Here is a 21,525-nt window from a genome sequence, read left to right on the forward strand (position 1 = left end):
ATATCTGTATCTACAAAGAGTTATCTACAAAAAAAATACTTTTGTTGTTCTAAAATCAAAAAATTGCCACAAAAACTTTACTTGAGTAAAATAAAAGTAAGCCTCTGACAGCTTCTAAACCTAAATATAATAAAACTATTTGGAGCTTTATTTATTCTTAGACATTATTTTTTGTCAATGTATAACTGTTCGTTAGCAGTAAATATTATATGAAATGCACAATGAAACACTTTTGATGAAATAGTCTTTTATATCTTAACTACTCTGGATTATATTTTGGGATTGTGGTAGAAATAACAATATGTGTTCATTGCACAATTTCCTCTTTCTCAGAAATAGGAAAACAATATTTGCCGGCCTCTCTTGAAGACAGTTTCAGGACCATGTAATTGGAATTCTGGCCAATGGAATGTAGAGTAGATCTTGACCTTAAAATCATTCCTTTTGCCTCTCCAGCCCTTTTCCTTTCCATGGAACCTTAGAAGCCATGTGATCCAGATGGTAAAGCTACAGTGAAAGAAGCTGGATCCCTACGCCACTCCTTCAAGAGGACCCCATGAAGGAAAGCTGCCTTAACCACATCACTAACATCATCAAAGAAGAGATCTTTGTTTTGTTAAACCACTGTGATGTTGGACTTTTGCAAAACATAGTCTAACCTGTTCTAATAGAGGGCTGCACTATTAGGTTTATTAACTAATCAAAATATTAGGCCGGGCGCGGTGGCTCATGCCTGTAATCCCAGCACTTTGGGAGGCCGAGGTGGGCGGATCACAAGGTCAGGAGTTCGAGACCAGCCTGGCCAACATGGTGAAACCCCATCTCTACTAAAAACACACAAAAAAATTAGCCGGGCGCGGTGGTGGGCCCCTGTGGTCCCAGCTACTCGGGAGGCTGAGGCAGGAGAATGGCGTGAACCCAGGAGGCGGAGCTTGCAGTGAGCCGAGATCGCGCCACTGCACTCCAGCCTGGGCAACCGTGCGAGACTACGTCTCAAAAAAAAAAAAAAAAAAGAACATCAGCAACAATAATGGAAATGGCTCAGGTGATGATTCACTGTCCTCAAAACCAAAAGAATGAAGTCTACATAAGTGAAATACAAATGATTTAACTTTTTTTTTTTTTTTTTTTTTTACTTTTAACAGTGGAGTAGTAGAGCATGGGAAACTAACCATTTATATTATTTGGGACGTTTTCTTTGTTGAAAGCCAAGAAAACTTCCTGCATACTAAGAATCTTCACAACTTCCTTAGAATATCTGAATTAGGCATTCTCAATTATAAACATAATAACAATTTTTTAAAAATTCAATAACATGATTTTTCACAGAAACAAGGTCATACTGGCTATTCACATCTGGTTATTTGGATACCACTATCATACTTTTTGTTATTTTTGCTTACTCTTTGTAGTGTTATTTAAGTCAATTTACACCAATTCACATTAGGATTATATATTTTCTGGTAGATATGAAAATAAATACATAGCTATTATAACACAAATTTTCATATACAACTTTAAACTAATCTTGTTACTGCAGGTGATATAAATACTCCTACTAGGAGCCACTCTATAATAAAGGATGGTAGGTTCCCAGGTAATCAAACTGCACCCTCCTCCACCCCAAATAGCACCATGTTTGTTAAAACATTATTTTATCAGCTGAAGATATTGAATTATTAATTGCATCTGTTCTCTCTATTCAGTCCCGCAGCTGGTCTACTCCCATTTTTATATCATAACAAGACTTTGTAGTTTTTTGTCTAAAGGTTTTTGGCCTGGAGAAAAGCTGAAGCAGTCTGAAATCTCTTTGATCTTAATTCATGGGATATCCTGGAGAGGAATGTAGGATCAGTGAGGTGGTGATGGAAGAGGTCTGTGAGCCCAGCAAGGCTATGGTAGCAGCAAAGGAGGTGACCAGATTTTGGAGACATGACTGCTGGGTGCACTGCAGGCTGCATCACAGGCATGAGAGCTCCCAGCTGCACTCAGCTTCTTATGGGCCTGGGAGCCACATCAAGTCAGCAGTGATCTATGAGATCCATGAAAAGGCTGGTACTCTCAATGGAAGAGATGACACATGGCAGGAGGGTTTGGTTGGGTATGGGGAGGCGGATGCAAGTAGTAAGATTGTCTGAGGGTAAATTTGCTGCTAAACTAGTAGAAAGGCACCACAGAATTGGAATTTAGTTGACTTAGAGAAAAATCTTAAGTGTGGTGTTCTTTACATACTCCGTTTCTGGGCTGATCCATGCTTTCTATACCAGCAAAAGTATATTAGTAGAGCCTAAACATTTTTAGCAGAGTTTTTCTAAGCGAACTGTAAGTTTTGCTTAAAGATGGTAGTAATAGATTTCTCCAACACAATTTTTAATATAATTCTCTCATGCCTTCTCCATACACACACACACACACACACACACACACACACACACACACACTAACTGAATACTCCTTGATGCACATACCAATACCCCGTGATGCTCTTCCTTCTAATTTTATACACTCCAGGTCCCTCTCAGTAGCAAAGAAACACATCTCTTTGAGAAACACATCCAGTAACTTATCTAAAGAAAGACTGAATCTCCCAATAAGGGAAACATTATCTTCATGCCGTTTCTACCTATGGATTATTTATGATGCTCTGTAAGATAAACGTCAGAAATATTTTTTTTAATTGCACGGCTTTGTCCATTAATTTAATTACTTTTTTAAAGGTATCAAGAAACAGCTGCCTTGAACTTTTTCAAATCTACTGTCTGTTAAGGAACTAAATGTTGAGAACACAGTTACATTGATTAATGTGGTATTAAGGCATATGAAATATGATCTTTAAGAGGTTTAATTATTGCCTTTGTAAGAGAGACTGATATTATCAACTATTCTGAGGTTATGTTTGAATTACAAAGAAATTACTCAGTGTTTGTTAACATTAGTTTAGAAATTTTAACACTCACCAAGTTCTGTTTATTCTTCTAAAGCATAACACTCCATTCTATTAGTCATTTTTATAAACCTTGTAGGGTTTAAAGTTTGGATAACGTGAGGGGAGTATTGAGTTTTCCCACAGAGGATACATCTAAAATTCTACTGAAAATTGTTACCTAGGGCTGATTTTTCTGCTTCTGCAAAAGGATATCCATGCATTGGCATGGCATCTCCAGAGTATATCCAATTTTTATTCATCCAGATTCCCTAAATGATCTTCCTCAAAATGCGAACTACTGAATTAATACAAAGCATATGTTGCTAAATAAAAAAACTTCTAGTTCATATGAGCTACCAAATTAAAATTTAATAAAAATGGAGAGACTAACTCTCCCTTAATTACGACCTTGTCAAAAGGTCATGAGTTTTCTTTTCCTACTAGAGGCCTTCAAACACTAAATTGAAAACAGGTAATACACTGTTGCCCTGCCCCCAACCCATCACCACTAGTCACTCAATGTTCCTCCACTTAACAATCTTTACCAGATCCCAGTAAGCCATCTATAGGGAAGGAAAATATCAGACTAAAATGAATAAGAAAATAAAGAAGAATAGAGTGAAGTTTGAACAATGTGGTTTTATTTCCCCATAATTACAGCTTTAAGCTGTTAGTTGAGAAAATGTAATAAAACGCTAAGGTTTCCTGTTATGTTTCATTCTAAACAGTAAAGCGCCTTAATAGCTTCCCACTCCATGACTGACCAATAATTCAATAGCAGAATTTGTGTGTGTGTGTGTGTGTGTGGAAAGATATTTTCTTATACGTTTCATAAAGAAAATAAAAATGGATATCACTCTGGATTTATCATTATGCCATAGGGGAAAAAGGAAGTAATGCTTTCATTAGTAATTCTATTATTGAAATATGTTTAAGTATAAATGTTTGGACTCTTTTAAATCACTATGACTAAGCAAAGATCTCAATACAAGCAATATTTAATATTTTTCTAGAAATTTGTTAATATTCAGTAAAGAAATCAAAATTCATCCAACAGTATAGCTTTTGAGAAGCACTAAATGAAGCTGGAAAATTAAGCTTTCCACTAATTTCCTATTGTTGTTAAATTCTTCATTAAGAGAAACAGGTTTTGTTGCTGCAAAACAAACCAGAGATATAAAAAATATAAATAAATAATAACACCCACTAAGAAATCTGTGTTTAGTGAAATAACAGACAAATAAGAGTGGAAATGTGTAGCCATCTGGAGAATAAGAAAATCAAAAATAATAAGCAGCATTGGGAATTTATTACAAAGAAATTACGCCAACAGTTTCTTACAGCAGTTTTCTATGGAAATGTTCAAACTAGTGGGTAAAGAAATACATTTTATACTATATATTTGGACCCTACTGATATAATTTTATACATGATTTCATGGCATAATATTTGCTAAGTAATCTAAATTAGCTTGGCTATAAATGCTGTCATACTGATGCAAAATTTGCTATCATACCACAGTCAGTCCCCAGAAATGACACAGTTTGATGGAACTGTCTAGAGCCAGAGGTTGTGACATGGGGCTGTCTGCAACATTGTGTTTCAGAGAAATTAATAAATCTGAAAGCAACTGAGATATCAGGAAGACACAAAATAGAAGGTAGAAAGGAAAGGAGATAATGAAAACTACATAGGTCAAAGAAACAAGCAAAAGTTCATCCCCACTGCACTTCAGGAGGGGTGTATATTTCACATGGGGACGTGAAATGATTCCCATCATCATAAGATTCATTTTGACAATTCTAACTCTCATCTGCTACTTCAGAATCTAGATGTAGGAGAAGGAAGAGGGAAAAAATATTTAAAATGTTCTTTCCCAGTGTCTTCATCAATTTTCAAATTTTCCGCTAATTTTCAATATTTCAGAAATCAAATTCCATTATCAGGTGACATTTTCGGGCTACATCTTCAAATGTGGAAATTGTCATTTTGTTTATCTTTGAACCCACAGCACCTGGCAAATATTATGTGCTCAAAAATATTTCTTGAACAGAATTGTTGAACTATGAATGAGGGACCGTCTGCAGAATTTTAGTTTAAAATGGTCATAATTATTGGAGCAGAAAAAAAACAGCTTTAGTTTATTCCACTTAAGAGTTAATTATATTTTTTAAAAAGAGCAATTTTGGGGCATATTTTCTTAAAACTATGCTGTTCTCTGTCATAGCCACTAGCCATATTCAATTTAAAAATTAAAAATACAGTTCCTTGGCTACATTAACCACCTTCAACTACTCAATAGTCACATGTAGCTATAGGCTACTGCATCATAGCACAGTTCTATGATTGCAGAAAAGTCTTTTGGACAGTGTTGTTTTAGAGCATGTAAGCACCATATCCTCATTTCCCATGCATATTTTCTAAATTGTATGTTAATTTGTTCATTCAAAAAAGTATTCAATATATATTATATGCTTGGCACTGATGATGCCAGAATAAATGAGACCCTTTTCTAACTACTTCAAATCTTTTGTAGGAATATATCAGTCAACAGACAGTAACACTACAGAGAGAGAGAGGCAAGTGCTATGCCATGGAGGGCTTATTGAAGAAGACCATGATTAGAGGCAAAAAATGATCAAGAAGACTACTGAAGTGATCATAGTAAACATTATTTATAATAATAATATTTATTATTATAATACAATAATAATTAAGCTACAAGAAGTAGAAATGGAAAGGAGGAAAAAGGATCAAATGCTATTTAAGAGACAGAAACAGTGTGATTTGATGATAAATTAAATGCAGTAACAGAGAAAGAGGGATCTAGAATGACTCCCATACCTCTGGCATGAATGAATAGCCTACACTGCCACTATCTGAAATCAGATCTACGTGAGGAAAACCAGGTGAGCAGAGGAGAGAGGACCACTGAAACTTCACATATGGGTGCTTTTTAATGACGATGGTATATGTGTGTCCAATATTCATGAGAAGGTTTGATGGATACATAGTTTTGGGAATTATTATTATAGAACTATAGTTGGATCAGATCACATAACAACAGCAATAAAGAAAAGGAATTTTGACATTAAAGTCAAGAATAATTAACATTAACAATTTCTAGAGAAATTGAAGGATAAAAATGAATGGGATCATAGAAAACAAGAGAAAGGAGTTGCAACCTGGAGTCAAGTTTCCAAAAAGTACATTAAGACAAAGACTAGAAAAAATACAAACATGTCCATTTCATCTAGCAGAAGGTCATGAATGACCTTAACACAAACATTTCCCATAAATGATAGGAGCAGAGTTTAGGTAACAAGATGTCCAGGACAGCAAGAATGAGGATGATGAAAGACATGCATAGACCACTCTTTCTAGGACTTGAGCAGATATGAGCTGGAAAGAGCTAGACATGAAGTGAGATATAGATGCAAAGGAGGATGCTATTTGTTTTCTGGTTTTAATGGGGAAAAGACTTGAACATTTATTGCTGTGTCCACAATCTATGCATCTAATAGGTTCATCTTAGCCAGTTTGGATTGATTGCAGTTTATCTCCAGAGCTACTGACCCTTGGCCAATGCTGTAAAATGTATTAACTAAAGATAAATGATGTTTTGTAACCATGGGTCCATGAATTGTTTCAGAGCAAGATGTATCAGCCTGCCAGCACTGTTTAGTAATAATAATTGAATTTATAATTGCACCTAATTTCAGTGGAGCCTGGGGGAGGAAGACATTCAAAGTAAAGGCTGGTAACATAGCTAGAATATGTCTATATGAAAAGCTTATTATAAGAGATCTCCACTGTGAGCAGATTTGGGTCTCCTGCTACAGAAGTGCTTCACATGCACACCAGTAGTTGTTACAGTCTGGTACAGGCTAAGAGCATCTGCGTGACCCAGAGGTGGGAGAACAAAGAAACCTGTGCCTGGGACCTCTAGGTCCTTTTTCATGCATATTTTTCTTGTGTTGCTTCTGTGTTATGCTATATCCTTTGCCCGTTATAAAGTTGTTCTGGGAGTACAAACCGAGCAAATGGAGTTTCTTAAGCAATGGAACACTTAAGGTGATTAAAGTGTAATTACCTCTGACTAACATAATTTCTCTAGCAAAAATGCTTAGCTTTTTCAGCCTCTCAAAGAATTTGTCGCAAGTGTAATTTTTAGACTCAACAGTTACAATTTATGAGGATAGTTTTTACCTCAAGGAAAACAAATTTAAATAATAAAATCTCATTTACACAAAGAAAATTTTTAAAGAAACAAAAATAATTGTCTAGTTTGTCCATTAAACAACTTACCATCAATACAGGGATGTTCAAATAACTAATTTCCATGCAAACTATAACTTGTTGGTTGTGTTCTTTTACTGTCTGTTCAACCATATTGTTGCCCCTCCACCTTTGCTATTTTATTTAACATGCCCAGGTATCTCATCCAGTTCATTGGTTTGTGGTTAAATCCAAAGGTTTTCCAGGATCTAAGGGTAGGTTGAATCCCTTCGGTTCATATGAAAGGTCTTCTAATTACCTCTGTTCACACACACATTCAGTAAGTACCCAGAAAGGGAGGCCAGAAGGTAATGTTCATAGATATAAATTAATATAAAATAGACATATCATGATTAAAGTAGTTTAATCAAATGCCAAAGAACATAGCTTTTCAATCAGTTAGATGTAGAATTCAGTTCCTCATGGGCCCCATTACTGGCTGGCTATCTGACCTTGGGAAGGGTAGTTAATGTATTTGAGCTTCAGCCTTTTGCTGCGGAAAATGGTAAAAATAACAATACTTCGCAGTGTTATTGTGAGGGTTAAAATAAGATAATGTGTACAGAATATTTAGTCCAGTCACCAGCATATAATAACCACTTAATACATGGTAATAATTTAAATTCAGTGAACTAGGGTTCATTAACAAATTACATGTCCATAAATACAATGTGTGCAAATATCAGTTTTCTAATATAAGGATAAGTTTAAATTTACCTAACTGAATTTTTATGAACATTGACTGAAAATATAAAGGGACTATGGCCAGACCACATATGAAAATAAAACTCTAATCCACACATCTGCATCAACCAGTCCAGAAAGCCAAACCATAACTTCCACAGTGATCAGCATGGAACAGTCAGGACTTTGTTGATGACTGCCAGCTTTCCTAATTATTGCCCCTGGTTCCAACTCGAGACCAAGCAGAGAAAGCCAGATAAGATCCTCAGACCAGTCACATAAAGTATCCTGCTTCTAGTTAGCCCTCCTTCAGCATCCCCATGTCAACAACCTCCAGTCAAAACATACCTGAAGCTTTATAGCTTCCCCACTCCCCTGTCTGCATTTGAGTCTCTGTCCAATGCAAGTAATAGTAGCTCACTCCCTTCCTCTAGCAAGATCTGAATAAATAGCCTTGGCTTGTTCTAATGTGAGTGGTCTTCTTCTATTTCAGCAGCATTATAAATGAAGTTAAAAGTTCAACATCGATTTTAAAATGCCATATACGGCATACACACACACACACACACACGGCAAACACACACACACACACACACACAATTTGTGTTATTGTGCAGAAAACAGACATGAAGTTACCATGGCCATTAGAGCTCACACACATGCAACCATCTGCTTGTAGATGTACTAATTTTCCACCAGGTATATAACCCAGATGCTTATAAAATAATCAGTCCAATTCTCTCCCTATATCATTACCTCAATACAAATTCTTCGTCTACTTTAAATATTCCAGTTGCTTAATCTTTCTGCTTTTCCCTGCTCATTCACCATACATCATCTTCCTTTCCATGTTGTCTGTAATCTGCCATCTAGCATTTTAGCAGCCAATATTCTCATTAACCTCATTAATCTTCAGTCCCATAAGCCTAGATAAACTGAGTAGACAAATATGGATTTTCCCCCAGAAATTGTCTTTCCTAGAGGGCTCCTGTTTTGTGTGTAATTGTTTTCCCACTCCATCCACATAGTCTGACATTGCTGTCAATCGTAGTAACCCTATCCCCAACATAAATGCTCTTGGGACAGGCAAATTGAACCAACTGAGGTCAAGAAGAATTCATCGAGTGTTTCTAGATTTTCTTTATAGGTGCAAGTTTGGGAATTTATGAGTCCAGTGCTCTTGGAAATCATGGTTCTAGACTGGTGGAATAAGCCAGTGTGAGAATGAAGTCCATATTATAAAGATAAAAGAAAGAAGAATATATGCAATTATCCCGTTCACTGCTATGGAATATAGAACAGGAAGAAAAATTCTGAGGATGTGGTAACAAATTAGTTGAGTCTAAGGTTGTGTTGAATCTGAGGTGGGAGCAGGAGAGAGAAGTCTGGGTTGTGGATAAAAGCTCTGGCAGCAATCCCAACCCATCCAGGGATAGTGGGTAGACTAACAATCAAACTCATATTTTCGATAGTTCTGGAAATTAGACAGATATAGTTTATAATAAAACTTTATGACTGCAACAGTAAAGTAAGAAGTATTATATATTCAAGATAGAAATACACTAGTTTCTGTACGAATGTCTAAATAACAATTGAACATAAATAGCTGAAAATCCTCTGGATTCTTGGATTTGTCTTACAACTAGTCATGTCTCTGAGTTCTTAAACTTGGTAAGTGGTGTTCTAAAACCTATTACTACAGCAGGACCAAGAAACAATATTTTGAGGGTAGGAGGGAGATGTCAAGAATGCTGTATTTGGGTCAAGATGCCCAGAGCAATCAATACACAACAGATTATCCAATGATAAATAGGAGTGATAAGCTACCAAGTCAATTCACAAATATTTATTGAGCAGTGGATGAATGTCAAGAAAACAATAATAGAAAATGCTTTGAATTGGCAATCGGGAGATTCTTATATTCCTGAGTTTGAAGATTGCTGGATCTGACTTTTGTCAAATCACAAATCAGCTCTGAATATCACTTTTCTCACCTGTAAAGGGGAGGTGTTGGCGTGGATCATCTTATTTGGGGTGCTTTCGAGCAAGCAAGTATAAAATTCTCAGCCTCTCCGCCAGGAAGTTGTTCAGTATTTGACTTGATTGAGCAGACACTTAAAAAATTAAATATCAAGAAAAGAAATCAATAACAGTTCAAAGGAATAATACATGAGCCACCACAAGGCGGCCTTATAAGCAAAATAAAAGTTGAAATAATTATTTTAAAGGAATAAGACGCTAGAGACGCAGTTACAGACAAGACGAAGTTCCTCTAGGCGGCCAGCGGAGGGAGACTCTGCTTCCCTTCCCCCGGCAGTGGGGACTGGGGGACTGGGGGACTGGGGGACTGGGGGACTGGGGGACTGGGGGACTGGGGACAGGGGTTGGAGGACTGGGAAACTGGAGGACGGAGAACAGGGGGACAAAACGACTGGGGGACTGGGGAATTATGGGACTGGGGATTTGGGGAATTGTTTTCAAACGCGCGGGGCAAGGACTCCCCACCGCCTCTGGAAGGGGTGAAGAACTAGTCGACTCTAACTCCCTCAGGGTGGCCAGGGAATTGCATTTGGTTCTCCCGCGGGAGTCGCGCAGGCGGGCGGCCAGGGGGAGTGGGCGCCGCCCGGCAGCGCCCCGCGCCGAGGCACAAGCGCCCGCGCCGAGGCACAAGCGCCCCCGACTCACCGGCTCCGCGCGTTTCCCCGCGCGTCTCCCGGACCCGCGCCTGCCCACCCCTCCGGCTCTGCTGCGGTCGAGGCCCCAAGTCGGTTATCCCGTGTCCAGGCAACCGCGGGGGCGGCGGCGGCGGCGTGAGGAGCGGGCGGCTGCTGCTCCGGGGCCTCCTGGCTCGAGCCCTTAGCCCCCGACTCCCGGCGTTTCGGCGCCCGATCAGCGCTCCAGGCCGCCCCCGCTCCGCCTTCTCCCAGTGCCTTTCCCTTTCTCTTGTAACCGATTTGCCAACCCAACTCCTTTCCCTCTTTACCGGAGAGGGAAGGAGTGGAGACGAGTCAACGCCCCTTCGTACAGCAGTGAGGTTAGAACGTGAGGGGATCACAGACTTCGTCCACCTTCGGGAGGACCGCAGGACCTCTTTCTTTCTTGCCACTTGGGATGATACAACCAGGACTCCATGCGATAACCCCATGTGGTTTGGTTGTGACTTCAGTATTGAGAAACCTCAACAAACTGTTAAGGAAGAAAGAACTTTTCCTAGTGTCTGAAAGTGGGGAAAATGACTAATTCAAGACTAATTCAAGCCATTTCTCTAAGGGTCTGTTTCTTTCAAAAACAAATTTTTGAAGCATTGATCCTTCTGACAAAATACTAAGTGGCAGGCCGGGTGTGGTGGCACAACCCTGTGCCAGGCGTGTCCTGTCCCAGGACTTTGGGAGGCCGAGGCAGGAGGATTGCTTGAGCCCAGTGGTTAGAGGCTGCAGTGAACTGGGATCGTGCCACTGCACTCCAGCCTGGGCGACAGATCAATAAATACATAAATCAGTGGCACAAAATGTATTACCTACATTTTGTTTCTTCATCTGTGAATATACACTGTGAACTGAAATAGGCTTCAGAGGACAGTCGTGTCTTACACTATTGTCACCGTCTTCTTCAATGAAAACAAACACTGGACTATAAACTGAAGATGGTTAAAAAAAAAAAACAGAATCAGAATAAAGATTAGCATTCTCATCCAGAGAAATCATTTTTCCAGGCAACACTGAGAACAGGCAATTGCCTGCCAAGGTTAAATCAGCAAAGTCTATTACTTTAAGAGGCAATTTAATTAGTAATCCTTTCTAAGAGGGGAAAACCAGCAAGTCCGTACCTGGAATGTGGTCCTTTCAGCCAAAGATGAAAAAAAGGAAGCAATAACTAACAAACTGGTGGAAGGTCTTAATCTTAAATTAATATATGCAGAAGCAGAGCTCTTTTTGTAATTAAAAAATGGATTCAAGAATGCACTCCACTTTCCCATCTCCCTCCATTAATTATTAAACTTTGGCTTGTTCTCAATACAATGTTAAATTATAAACCAAATGAATCATTTGCATGCCAGTAAATATGTATTCATGAGGGTTCACAATATGTAAATGTGCATATTAAAACAATAGCTAGATTTTTTTCTCATAAAATAAAACTTTACCTACTAGAAATCTCATTATTGACAAGTTTCTCTTAATTAGAACTCACTGATAATTGCTAAACCCCTGTTGTGGCAGGCAGAATTCTAAAATGGACGCCCATGACCCTACCCCTTGGTATACACACCTGCATAATCCTTAGGACTTTAAATTTGGTGGATTTCATTTTCCTGATTAGTTTGTTACCTGACACAATTGACTTGAAAAAGGGAGATTATCCAGGATGGGTTGGCCTTTATTAGGTAAACCCTTAAAAGGGACTGACCTCTTCCTGGAGTCGGAGGTTTGAAGCATCAGAGGGATTTATCAAAGGGATATTCTCTATTGTCACCTTTGAAGATTGACAAGACCCTATGGTAAGGAAGGCAGGCAGCCTCTAGCAGCCGACAATGATCCCAGGTGACGGCGAGCAAGGCAATGGGGACCTCAGTCCTACAACTGCAAGAAACTGAATTCTACAAATAATCTGGATGTGCTTGGAAGAGAACACTGAACTCAAAATGAAAATATGTCCTGGTTGGGCACGGTGGCTCATGCCTGTAATCCCAGCACTTTGGGAGGCCAAGGCAGGCAAATAACTTGAGGCCAGGAGTTCAAGACCAGCCTGGCCAACATGGTGAATCCCCGTCCCTACCAAAAATACAAAAAAATTAGCCAGGTATGGTGGCACGCACCTGTGGTCCCAGCTACTCAGGAGGCTGAGGTGGGAGGATTGCTTGAGCTTGGGAGGCAGACATTGCAGTGAGTCAAGATTGTGCCACTGCACTCTAGCCTGAGCACAGAGCAAGATCCTATCTTAAAAAAAAAAAAAAAAAAGGAGATTATGGATTATGTCCTGCCATCACCTTGATTTCAGCCTCGTGAGACCCTGAGCAGACAACCCAGGCAAGCTCACTTGGGCTACTTACTTAGAGAACCGTGAGGCTAATAAATGGACATTGTTTTAAACTGCTAGACTTACCGTAATTTGTTACACAGCCAAAGAAAGCTAATACACATATTAACTTACTTCACATAAACAAAAGTGGGTATTTTGAAATTAAAAAATGTAGGAGTATCTCAGTAAACCCAGTGCAGGATTGTGGCTGAAACTCAAATAGAACAGAAATCAGACACTGCAAAATCAATACCAGACTTATCATCATAAACAAGAACCTAGTAGTGATGGGGTTTAGGACATGCTACCCTAAATTTTTTTAAGCTGAAGAAATTTTAGAAAATTGCAGAAGCAGGAAAGTCACTCTGACCTTCCTCTCCATCTGTCTCCCTGGAAGGTCATAAAACCTAGAAAGGATTTTCTTACCTTCCCCAGGCTCAGGTCATAAGACCCGCATGTGGGAGGTGCCCTCATATACCTGGAGGAAAGGAGCATCCTTATTCCTTATTGCTGAAGACACAGGGACACAGAGAAGAATCCAACCAAACAGGCCTTGTTAAGTTTCCCCCAGTTTATTACCATTAGCTCATACCCTTTCTGTGTGTAATATTTTCCCACGACTATTCACTTTTCATCGAACCTACTAGAAAAATCACTCAGGTTTAACTGTTTTTTTGGATATTCCTTTCCTTGTGAAGGCTCCAGGGTCATGTAAAACTTCAGTGTGTATGCTTTTCTCTTGTTCATATGTTTTTTCGTTATAGGGGCCTCAGCTATGAACCTAAATGTATAAAGGAAAGGACATTTTTCCTCCAGTACAATAGTCAAGGTGATCTTATTAGCAAATAGCAAACCAGATTTTCCACAAAAGCAGAACAAACATAAATATCCAATTTTTCTATAGCAACAATAAAAGACAGAATAAAGTGATATAATAATCATGCAGAGAGAAGACAATAATCAAATAATACATTTCCTACAAAACTATCATTCAGGAGCAGAGTTAAAAATATTTTCAAAGAAAAAAAAACAAATTTTACCATTTGCCAGCCTACACTGAACAGTGTACTTTAGGAAGAAAGAAAATAGTAAAGACATTGGACAGACGTATAGTTAAATCTAAGAAAGCTTTCAGTATATGAAACGTTCAGCCATACATTTGTCTTCCAAGTGTTCTTGGTTTTCTCTCCCTAACCATCTTTTATCCAATTAGTCCTTAGGACCTAAGCATGCTTATGTTTTAATATATTTCCTGACAATGCTAGACCATTTCATGAATTAGATTTAACGATGACTATTCTATGCTCCTTTTAAAACTTACATCAGAATTATTTTCAGCCACTTTTAGGGTAACTAAATGTATATCACACCTGTCATGGAGAATGAGCTAAGATCTCTTACTAATAGTAATGTTTTATTAAGATAGAGCATAAGGGTCCACAGTAGGTAATTGGATCTGGTATCTAATTATATCTGAAAGAGTGACATGATATCAATTTTTCTAAATTAAAAATTATTGTCTTTGGCAGCCATTCTCCAAAATTCAATTTGCTTACGTCGAATTACTTCTTACAGTAACCAATTCATTTTTATTTTGTAACTGACACTGATATACAATGAGAAAGTAAGAAGTTCCAAATGAGTATTACTGGTATTTCCCTATAATGGCCTATTTTTTTAAATATTTCAAATCAGACCATTTTGCCTTTTCATAAATGGTATAGAATGTGGAGACCATCTTAACCCCATTTATGTGCTAAAGATTACCATTACAGCTTCCTAAAGCTAATGTTAAATGATCCTAAATGTTAAACGTTCCTACAGATATCCCTGTTGTCACCCTCTGTAAGTTGTAGTCATTTATCCAGGCCAGTGTACCTCAAGTTTTGTCATAAGCTTTAATTCATCCCATCTGGTTCTCATAAAGCATGTGGATCTGCTCTCAATCTGTATGCTTTCAGAATACCTAGGCTCCAACACTTCATCAGAGAACACAGCCTCAGACTCTCTCTGGGCAGTTTTAATAAAGCTTGCCTGAAAGGATACAATTTACAGAATATACGTTGTTTTAAAGATGTAAAGTACTGTGCCTTTTGGACATGCTTTCAGCTCTTTTTCTGAATCAGATGAAACCAACGCCAGGTTATTGATTAAAACATTATTACCTTACTGCATTATAGAGTCATTTTTACTGTGTTCCATCACTCTAATTTATCAAAGAGCACTATATGAAAAAGACATATGAAACATACTACTACACTTTAAAAAGTTTCAGATGATATTGTCCACCATATCATTCAATGGTTCCATGCAAAATTCTATGTAAGAAACGAGTGTGTGTGTGTGCACACATGTGCATGGGCTAGTGTGAGGGAGGGGGTAGAGAGAGGGAAAAAACGAGAAAGGTTTAAGGAGGTTGAGTGCAAGGAAAAATCAGACAGCAGTTGTTTAACCCAGGAAAATAGTGTAAATCACATATAAATTGTGGCGCTTATGTCTTGTCTACCAGATGTTAAGCTTAATATAAGCAATTATGTTAACTCTTTGGTCCTGATTTTCTACTGATACTTATGTTATATTAGTATTTCATTATATATTTTTGTTGTATTGGCCTTAAATTTTTTGTGAGAAGTGAGTTGTAGAAAAGTAAAAATAAAAGTGAATATAAAGGGAATGCTAAATAAAGGTACAGCCTGTGAAATTCATGCCATTTAATAAGCTGTCAGTATTATTTCTGCACTGTTTGGGGAAAATTAAATTGTTATTCTCTAAGATAGCCATGATGTTACCTGATTCATAACAGTCTTAGCACATTTAGATATTGCCTATAAGATAGCATTGTCTAAAACTGAATCTAGTGTCCTAGAATTGATCATGATTTTGGAAAGTAGCAGACTCAGAAGCTGTTACAGGCATGGCTTATACATCTCTGACTCTTCATAGAAATAGATTTAAATCCTGTAGTGAAAAATTTTTCTGGTGGCTTAACCTTATTATCTATGCCAGAAATCCTATTTCAACTACCATGCACAACAGTCCTTTTAGTCAGCAAGCATCCTCCCATTTTGATAGTCTTCATTTCCTTTGACTTTTCCTTTTTTCCCCTTAATGGTAGGAACCTAGCATTCTGGTATAAAATTTTCTTTTTCTTTAACTGTCAAAACAAGTCAATAGAGAATACACTTGAACAGAGAGGCATATAGATACATGTGTATATATATATATATATATATATATAGATAGATAGATAGATAGATACATGTGTGTATATATATATATATATGCGTGCATCTATTTATCTCTCTCTCTCTCTCTCTCTCTCTATATATATATATATATATATATATATATATGCATGTGTGTCTATATATATATTCACACACATACACATATCATGACTAGGTCTCCTGAATTGTCTTTCACTAAAAAACTACTAAGAGAAAATGAAGAAACACTTGTCTTTTCTCATGGCTATTTCTATAATCAATGAGCGTAATCACTTGCTAATTTCTAAGTTTATTCATTGGTGATTTACTTTTCCTGAAAAAGTTCTGAATAATAATTACAGTAGTTTTACTACCATTTATTTATTGAACACTGTCACATGTCAGATTGTACACTTTCCTCTCCTCAAATCTATCTCTTGAAAAAATATATATTATCTTTCTTTTTCATAGCAACTGTGATTTGGAACAAGTTAAGTGACTTGTCCAGAGCCACACAGTTTGCAATGAGCAGAATTAAACTCAAACCAAACTGTGACTCAAATCAGTGCACTTCACAGTATGTTACTCAGCCTGTTTTATAGGCATACATAAAAAATCATCTTCAAATGACTAATTAAGCGTGGTTTACTCCATTTTTCTTGTGAAACATGAGCCAAACAAAATGGTCATAATAATCATGAGGGAGGTGGATGATGAATGTCATAAAGAACAATGTTTTCATTAGTTGGGATCCTGTCAAGAAATAGATGAAATGCTCAAGTGAGGTCACTGAGCAAAATCTAATAAAGACAGTGTTTACCAAATGTGACAAGGTTAAGGGAACCCTCAGGGGTGGTGTACTCTATAAGGCTACCAATAAATGAAAGCTGTCACCACTCCTGGGCCTGAGAAAGCAAGGATGGACTCGGGCACATACAGAGCTTAGAAGTCACCACTTTACCCTAAAAAAAAAAACAAGTTTCTTACATACATTGCAGAAGTGAGGTCACAGGGTAAACCATGGCCCCTCAAATTGGAGAATGATAGGCAAATACGTCTTTAAACAAAAAGTTATGAAACATACAAAAAGTTAGGAGACATACAAACAAAAGCAAAAAATTTAAAAAAATGGCAGTGTGAAAAGACAGCAAGCATCAGAACCAGACCAGGATAATGGCAGGGATGTTGGAATTATCAGACTATGAATTTAAAACAACTATGATTACTATGCTAAGGGCTTTAATTGAAGAGGTAGATAATGTGCAAGAACAGATGGTTAATATAAGCAGAGAGATGGAAATTCTTAAAAAAGAATTAAAAAGAAATGCTAGATATAAAAAACACTGTAACAAATAAAGATTGTCTTTGCTGGCTCAGTATTAGACTGAGCATGGCTGAGGAAAGAATCTCTGAGCTTGAATACATGTCTTTCAAATTTGAAAATCTGGGACAATAAAGACTAAAAAAAAAAAAAAAAAAAACAGAACCAACTATCCACAAACTGTGGGACAACTACAAAAGGTGTAATATATTCATAATGAGAATACCAGAAGAAGAAGAGAGAAGGAACAGATATTTCAAGCAATAACGAGTGAGAATTTTCATAAATAAATGTCAGACACCAAACAATAGATCCAGAAAGCTCAGAGAACACTGAGCAAGATAAATGCCCCCAAAAAGCCAAATGTAGGCACATCATATCCAAACTGCAAAGAAATGAAATTTTTTTTTAATCATAAAAGAAGCAGAGGGAAGAAAGCACCTTACTTAGAAAGGAGCAGAGTTACAGCTGACTTCTCAAAACCCGTGTAAGCAAGAAAAGAGTAGACTGAGATACATGAAGTTTTGAAAGAAAGAAACCCACCAACCTAGAATTCTGTATCCTGCAAAATTATCCTTCAGAAGTGGGAAAATAATGACTTTCTCAGACAAATTAAAATTGAGGTAATTTGTTGCCGGTTGACCTGCCTTGCAAGAATTTTTTTTTTTTTTTTTTGAAACGGAGTCTCGCTCTGTCACGCAGGCTGGAGTGCAGTGGCGCGATCTTGGCTTCACTGCAAGCTCTGCCTCCCAGGTTCATGCCATTCTCCTGCCTCAGCCTCCTGAGTAGCTGGGACTACAGGCGTCCGCCACCAGGCCCGGCTAATTTTTTTTGTATTTTTAGTAGAGGTGGGGTTGCACCATGTTAGCCAGGATGGTCTCGATCTCCTGACCTCGTGATCCACCCACCTCGGCCTCCCAGAGTGCTGGGATTACAGGCGTAAGTCATCAAGCCTGGCCAAGAAATTTTAAAAGAAGTTCTTCAGAGAGAAGTAAGATGATATATTTCAGAAGCAGATGTACATTTAAAAAATGAGCATCAGGGAATGAGTAAGTAAAGGTAAAATAAATATTTCTTTGTATTCTTAATTGGTCTAATAGATAACTGTTCAAAATTACAATAAAAGCAATGTATTGAATGATTTTACCATTTTGATAAATGAAAAAATGACAGCAATGTCATAAGTGTCAGGAGGGAAAAATTAGAAATAAATTACCTGCATTACCCATGAAGCAGTGCAGAATTTTTTGAAAGTACAGTTACATTAATTATAAAAGTATACTGCAAATTCTAGTGCAACCACTAAAAAATTAAGAAATATATCTGATACCCTGAGAGAAGACAAAATGAAATCATATAAAATGCTCTATTAAAACCAGAAAAGGCAGAAACAGAGGGGAAGATTTAAAAAGACAAGCAACCAAGAAAACGTTCAACAATAGTAAAGTGTTGTAAATATGCTAGATATTCCCGCAACTATATCAATAATCATTTCAACTATAAATGGTCTAAATCACCAATTAAAAAAGAATCTGACAGAGTGACTAAAGAGCCAGACCCAACTATTTGTTGTCTACCAGAAACACATTCTTTTTTTTTTTTTTTTTTTTTTTGAGACAGAGTCTTGCTCTGTCACCCAGGCTGCAGTGCAGTGGCAGTGGTGCTATCTTGGCTCACTGCAAGCTCCGCCTCCCAGGTTCACGCCATTCTCCTGCCTCAGCCTCCCAAGTAGCTGGGACTACAGGCACCCGCCACCATGCCCGGCTAATTTTTTGTATTTTTAGTAGAGACGGGGTTTCACCTTGTTAGCCAGGATGGTCTCGATCTCCTGACCTCATGAGCTGCACATTCTTAATATAAGGACACAGATAGAATAAAACTAAAAGTTGAAGAAAGATACACCATGCTAACACAAATTAAAAGAAAAATTGCCTGGCTTTATTAATGTCAAACAAAGCATACTCTATAATTAGGAATATTATAAGATATAAAGATAGGAATTCCATAATGATAAAGGGGTAAATCTTCCAAAAAGACATAACAATTCTGAATATGCTTGCAACTTGATGTGTATCCACATCAAAATACATAAGGCAAAAACTAATATAACTGCAAAGAGAAATAGAAAAACCACCATTATGTGGTCATGTGTCACATAAAGATTGAAATACATTCTGAGAAGCCCATCATTAGGCAATTTTGTCATAGTGCAAACGTCATCACATGTACTTACCCAAACCTAGATGGTGTAGCCAACCACACATCCAGGCTACATGGTATAGTCTATTGCTCCTAGGATGGAAACCTGTGTAGCATGTTACATTACTGAATAGTCTAGGCAATAGTAACAATGCTAAGTATTTGTGTATCTAAGTCTATCGAAATATAGAAAAGGTACAGTACAAATATGATATAAAAGATAAAAATGGTACACCTGTATAGGGAAACTTACTATGAAGGAGCTTGCAGGACTGGAAGTTGCTTTGGGTGAGTCAGTGAGTGAGTGGTGAGTGAATGTGAAGGCCCAGGCCATTACACTACTGTAGACTTTTAAGAACCATACACTTAGGCTACAATAAATTTATTTTAAAAATATTTTCCTTCTTCAATAATAAATTAACCTTAGGGTATTATAACTTTTTAACTTTATTCATTTTGTAACTTTTTAAAAACTTTTTGATTCTTTTGTAATAATAACATAAAACACAAACACATTGTCAGCTGTACAAAAATATATTCTATAATATATTTAATTTTCTATTTATTTAATTTTATTTCTATTTCATTTTATTTTTTTCTATTTAATTTTATTTTTACTCTTCAAGTTAGAAAACAAAGACACAAATACACACATTAACCTAGGCCTATACAGGTTTAGGATCATCAATATCACCTCTTCTACCTCCACATGTCATCCTACTAGAAGCTCTTCAGGGCAAAAATATGTATGGAGCTGTCATCTCCTACCATAACAATCCCTTCTTCCAAAATGGCTCCTGAAAGGCCTGCATTAAGCTGCTTCATAGTGAACTTCTTTTCTTCTTATAAGTAGAAGTATACTTTAACAATAAATAGTATAATACACACATACATCAGTGACATTTATTATCATTATCAAGTATGTACTATACATAATTGTACTTCTTGTACTTTTATAAGACTAGCAAGACAGTGGGTTTGTTTACACCAGCATCAACACTAACACGTGAGTAATGCGTCGCACTACAAGCTTATGATGGCTATGTCATCACTGGACATTTTCAGCTTCATTATACTCTTATCAGACCACCACTGTATATGTGGTCCCAGGTTGTCCAAAACATTGTTACGTGCTGTCTGAATATAGTTGGAGACCTCAACACACTTCTAACAGTAATTGAGAGATCTAGCAACCAGAAATCAGTAAGGATACAGTTGAACTAAACAGTATAATCAATCAACTGAATCTAATTGACATTTATAGAATACCTCATCTAACAACAGAAGACACATTATTGTCTAGCTTACATGGAACATTCACCAAGATAGACCACATTTCGAACCATGAAACATAGCTTAACAAGTCTAGGAAAATTAAAATCATATGAAGTATGTTCTTAGATCATAATGAAATTAGACTAGAAATCAATAACAGAAAAAATGGTCAGAAAGTACCACATTATTTGGAAATTAAACAATATACTTCTAAATAATACACGGGTCAAAAAATTGGTCTCGAGAAATTTTGAAAATATTTTGAACCAAATGAAAATGAAAACATAACTTGTCAAAATCTGTGGGATACAGTGAAAACAGTGCCTACATTGAAATTTATAGCATGCAAAGCACAGAATAGAAAAATGAAAGATATTAGATAAATAAATAAAGTTTTCCCCTTAGGAAGCTGGAGAAAGAAGAGAAATATAAATACATAAAACAAGCAGAAGAAAAATAATCATAATAATTGAAACAAATCAGTGAAATTTAAAATAAGAAAATACTGGAGACAGTCAATGAACCCTAAAGCTCGTTCTTTTAAAAGGTCAATAAATTTGACAAACCTTTAACCAGGCTAACCAAGTAAAAAGAAGAGGAGACATAAATTATGAATA

The 21,525-nt window shown here is 37.0% G+C and overlaps 1 protein-coding gene across 8 annotated transcripts in view; it reads right to left on the bottom strand.

Moving 5' to 3' along the window:
* The window catches only part of CCDC178 (coiled-coil domain containing 178), a 503,635-nt gene extending 492,674 nt beyond the window's left edge, over positions 1-10,961 (bottom strand). For 5 of the 8 annotated variants that reach the window (NM_198995.3, XM_011525951.2, NM_001308126.3 and 2 more), the window contains exons 1-2: positions 10,574-10,661; positions 9,883-10,002 (exon numbers count right to left, since the gene is read on the bottom strand). The gene's annotated coding sequence lies outside the window, so the exon portion shown is untranslated. Of the gene's footprint in view, positions 1-9,882; positions 10,003-10,393; positions 10,493-10,573; positions 10,662-10,871 lie in introns of those variants that run through there. The other 3 variants (NM_001371120.1, NM_001105528.4, NM_001371121.1) reach the window with 3 other exon arrangements.
* Positions 10,962-21,525: the final 10,564 nt, after the last annotated feature.

Source organism: Homo sapiens, chromosome 18 (assembly GCF_000001405.40).
Source record: "Homo sapiens chromosome 18, GRCh38.p14 Primary Assembly".
Classification (NCBI taxonomy): domain Eukaryota; kingdom Metazoa; phylum Chordata; class Mammalia; order Primates; family Hominidae; genus Homo; species Homo sapiens.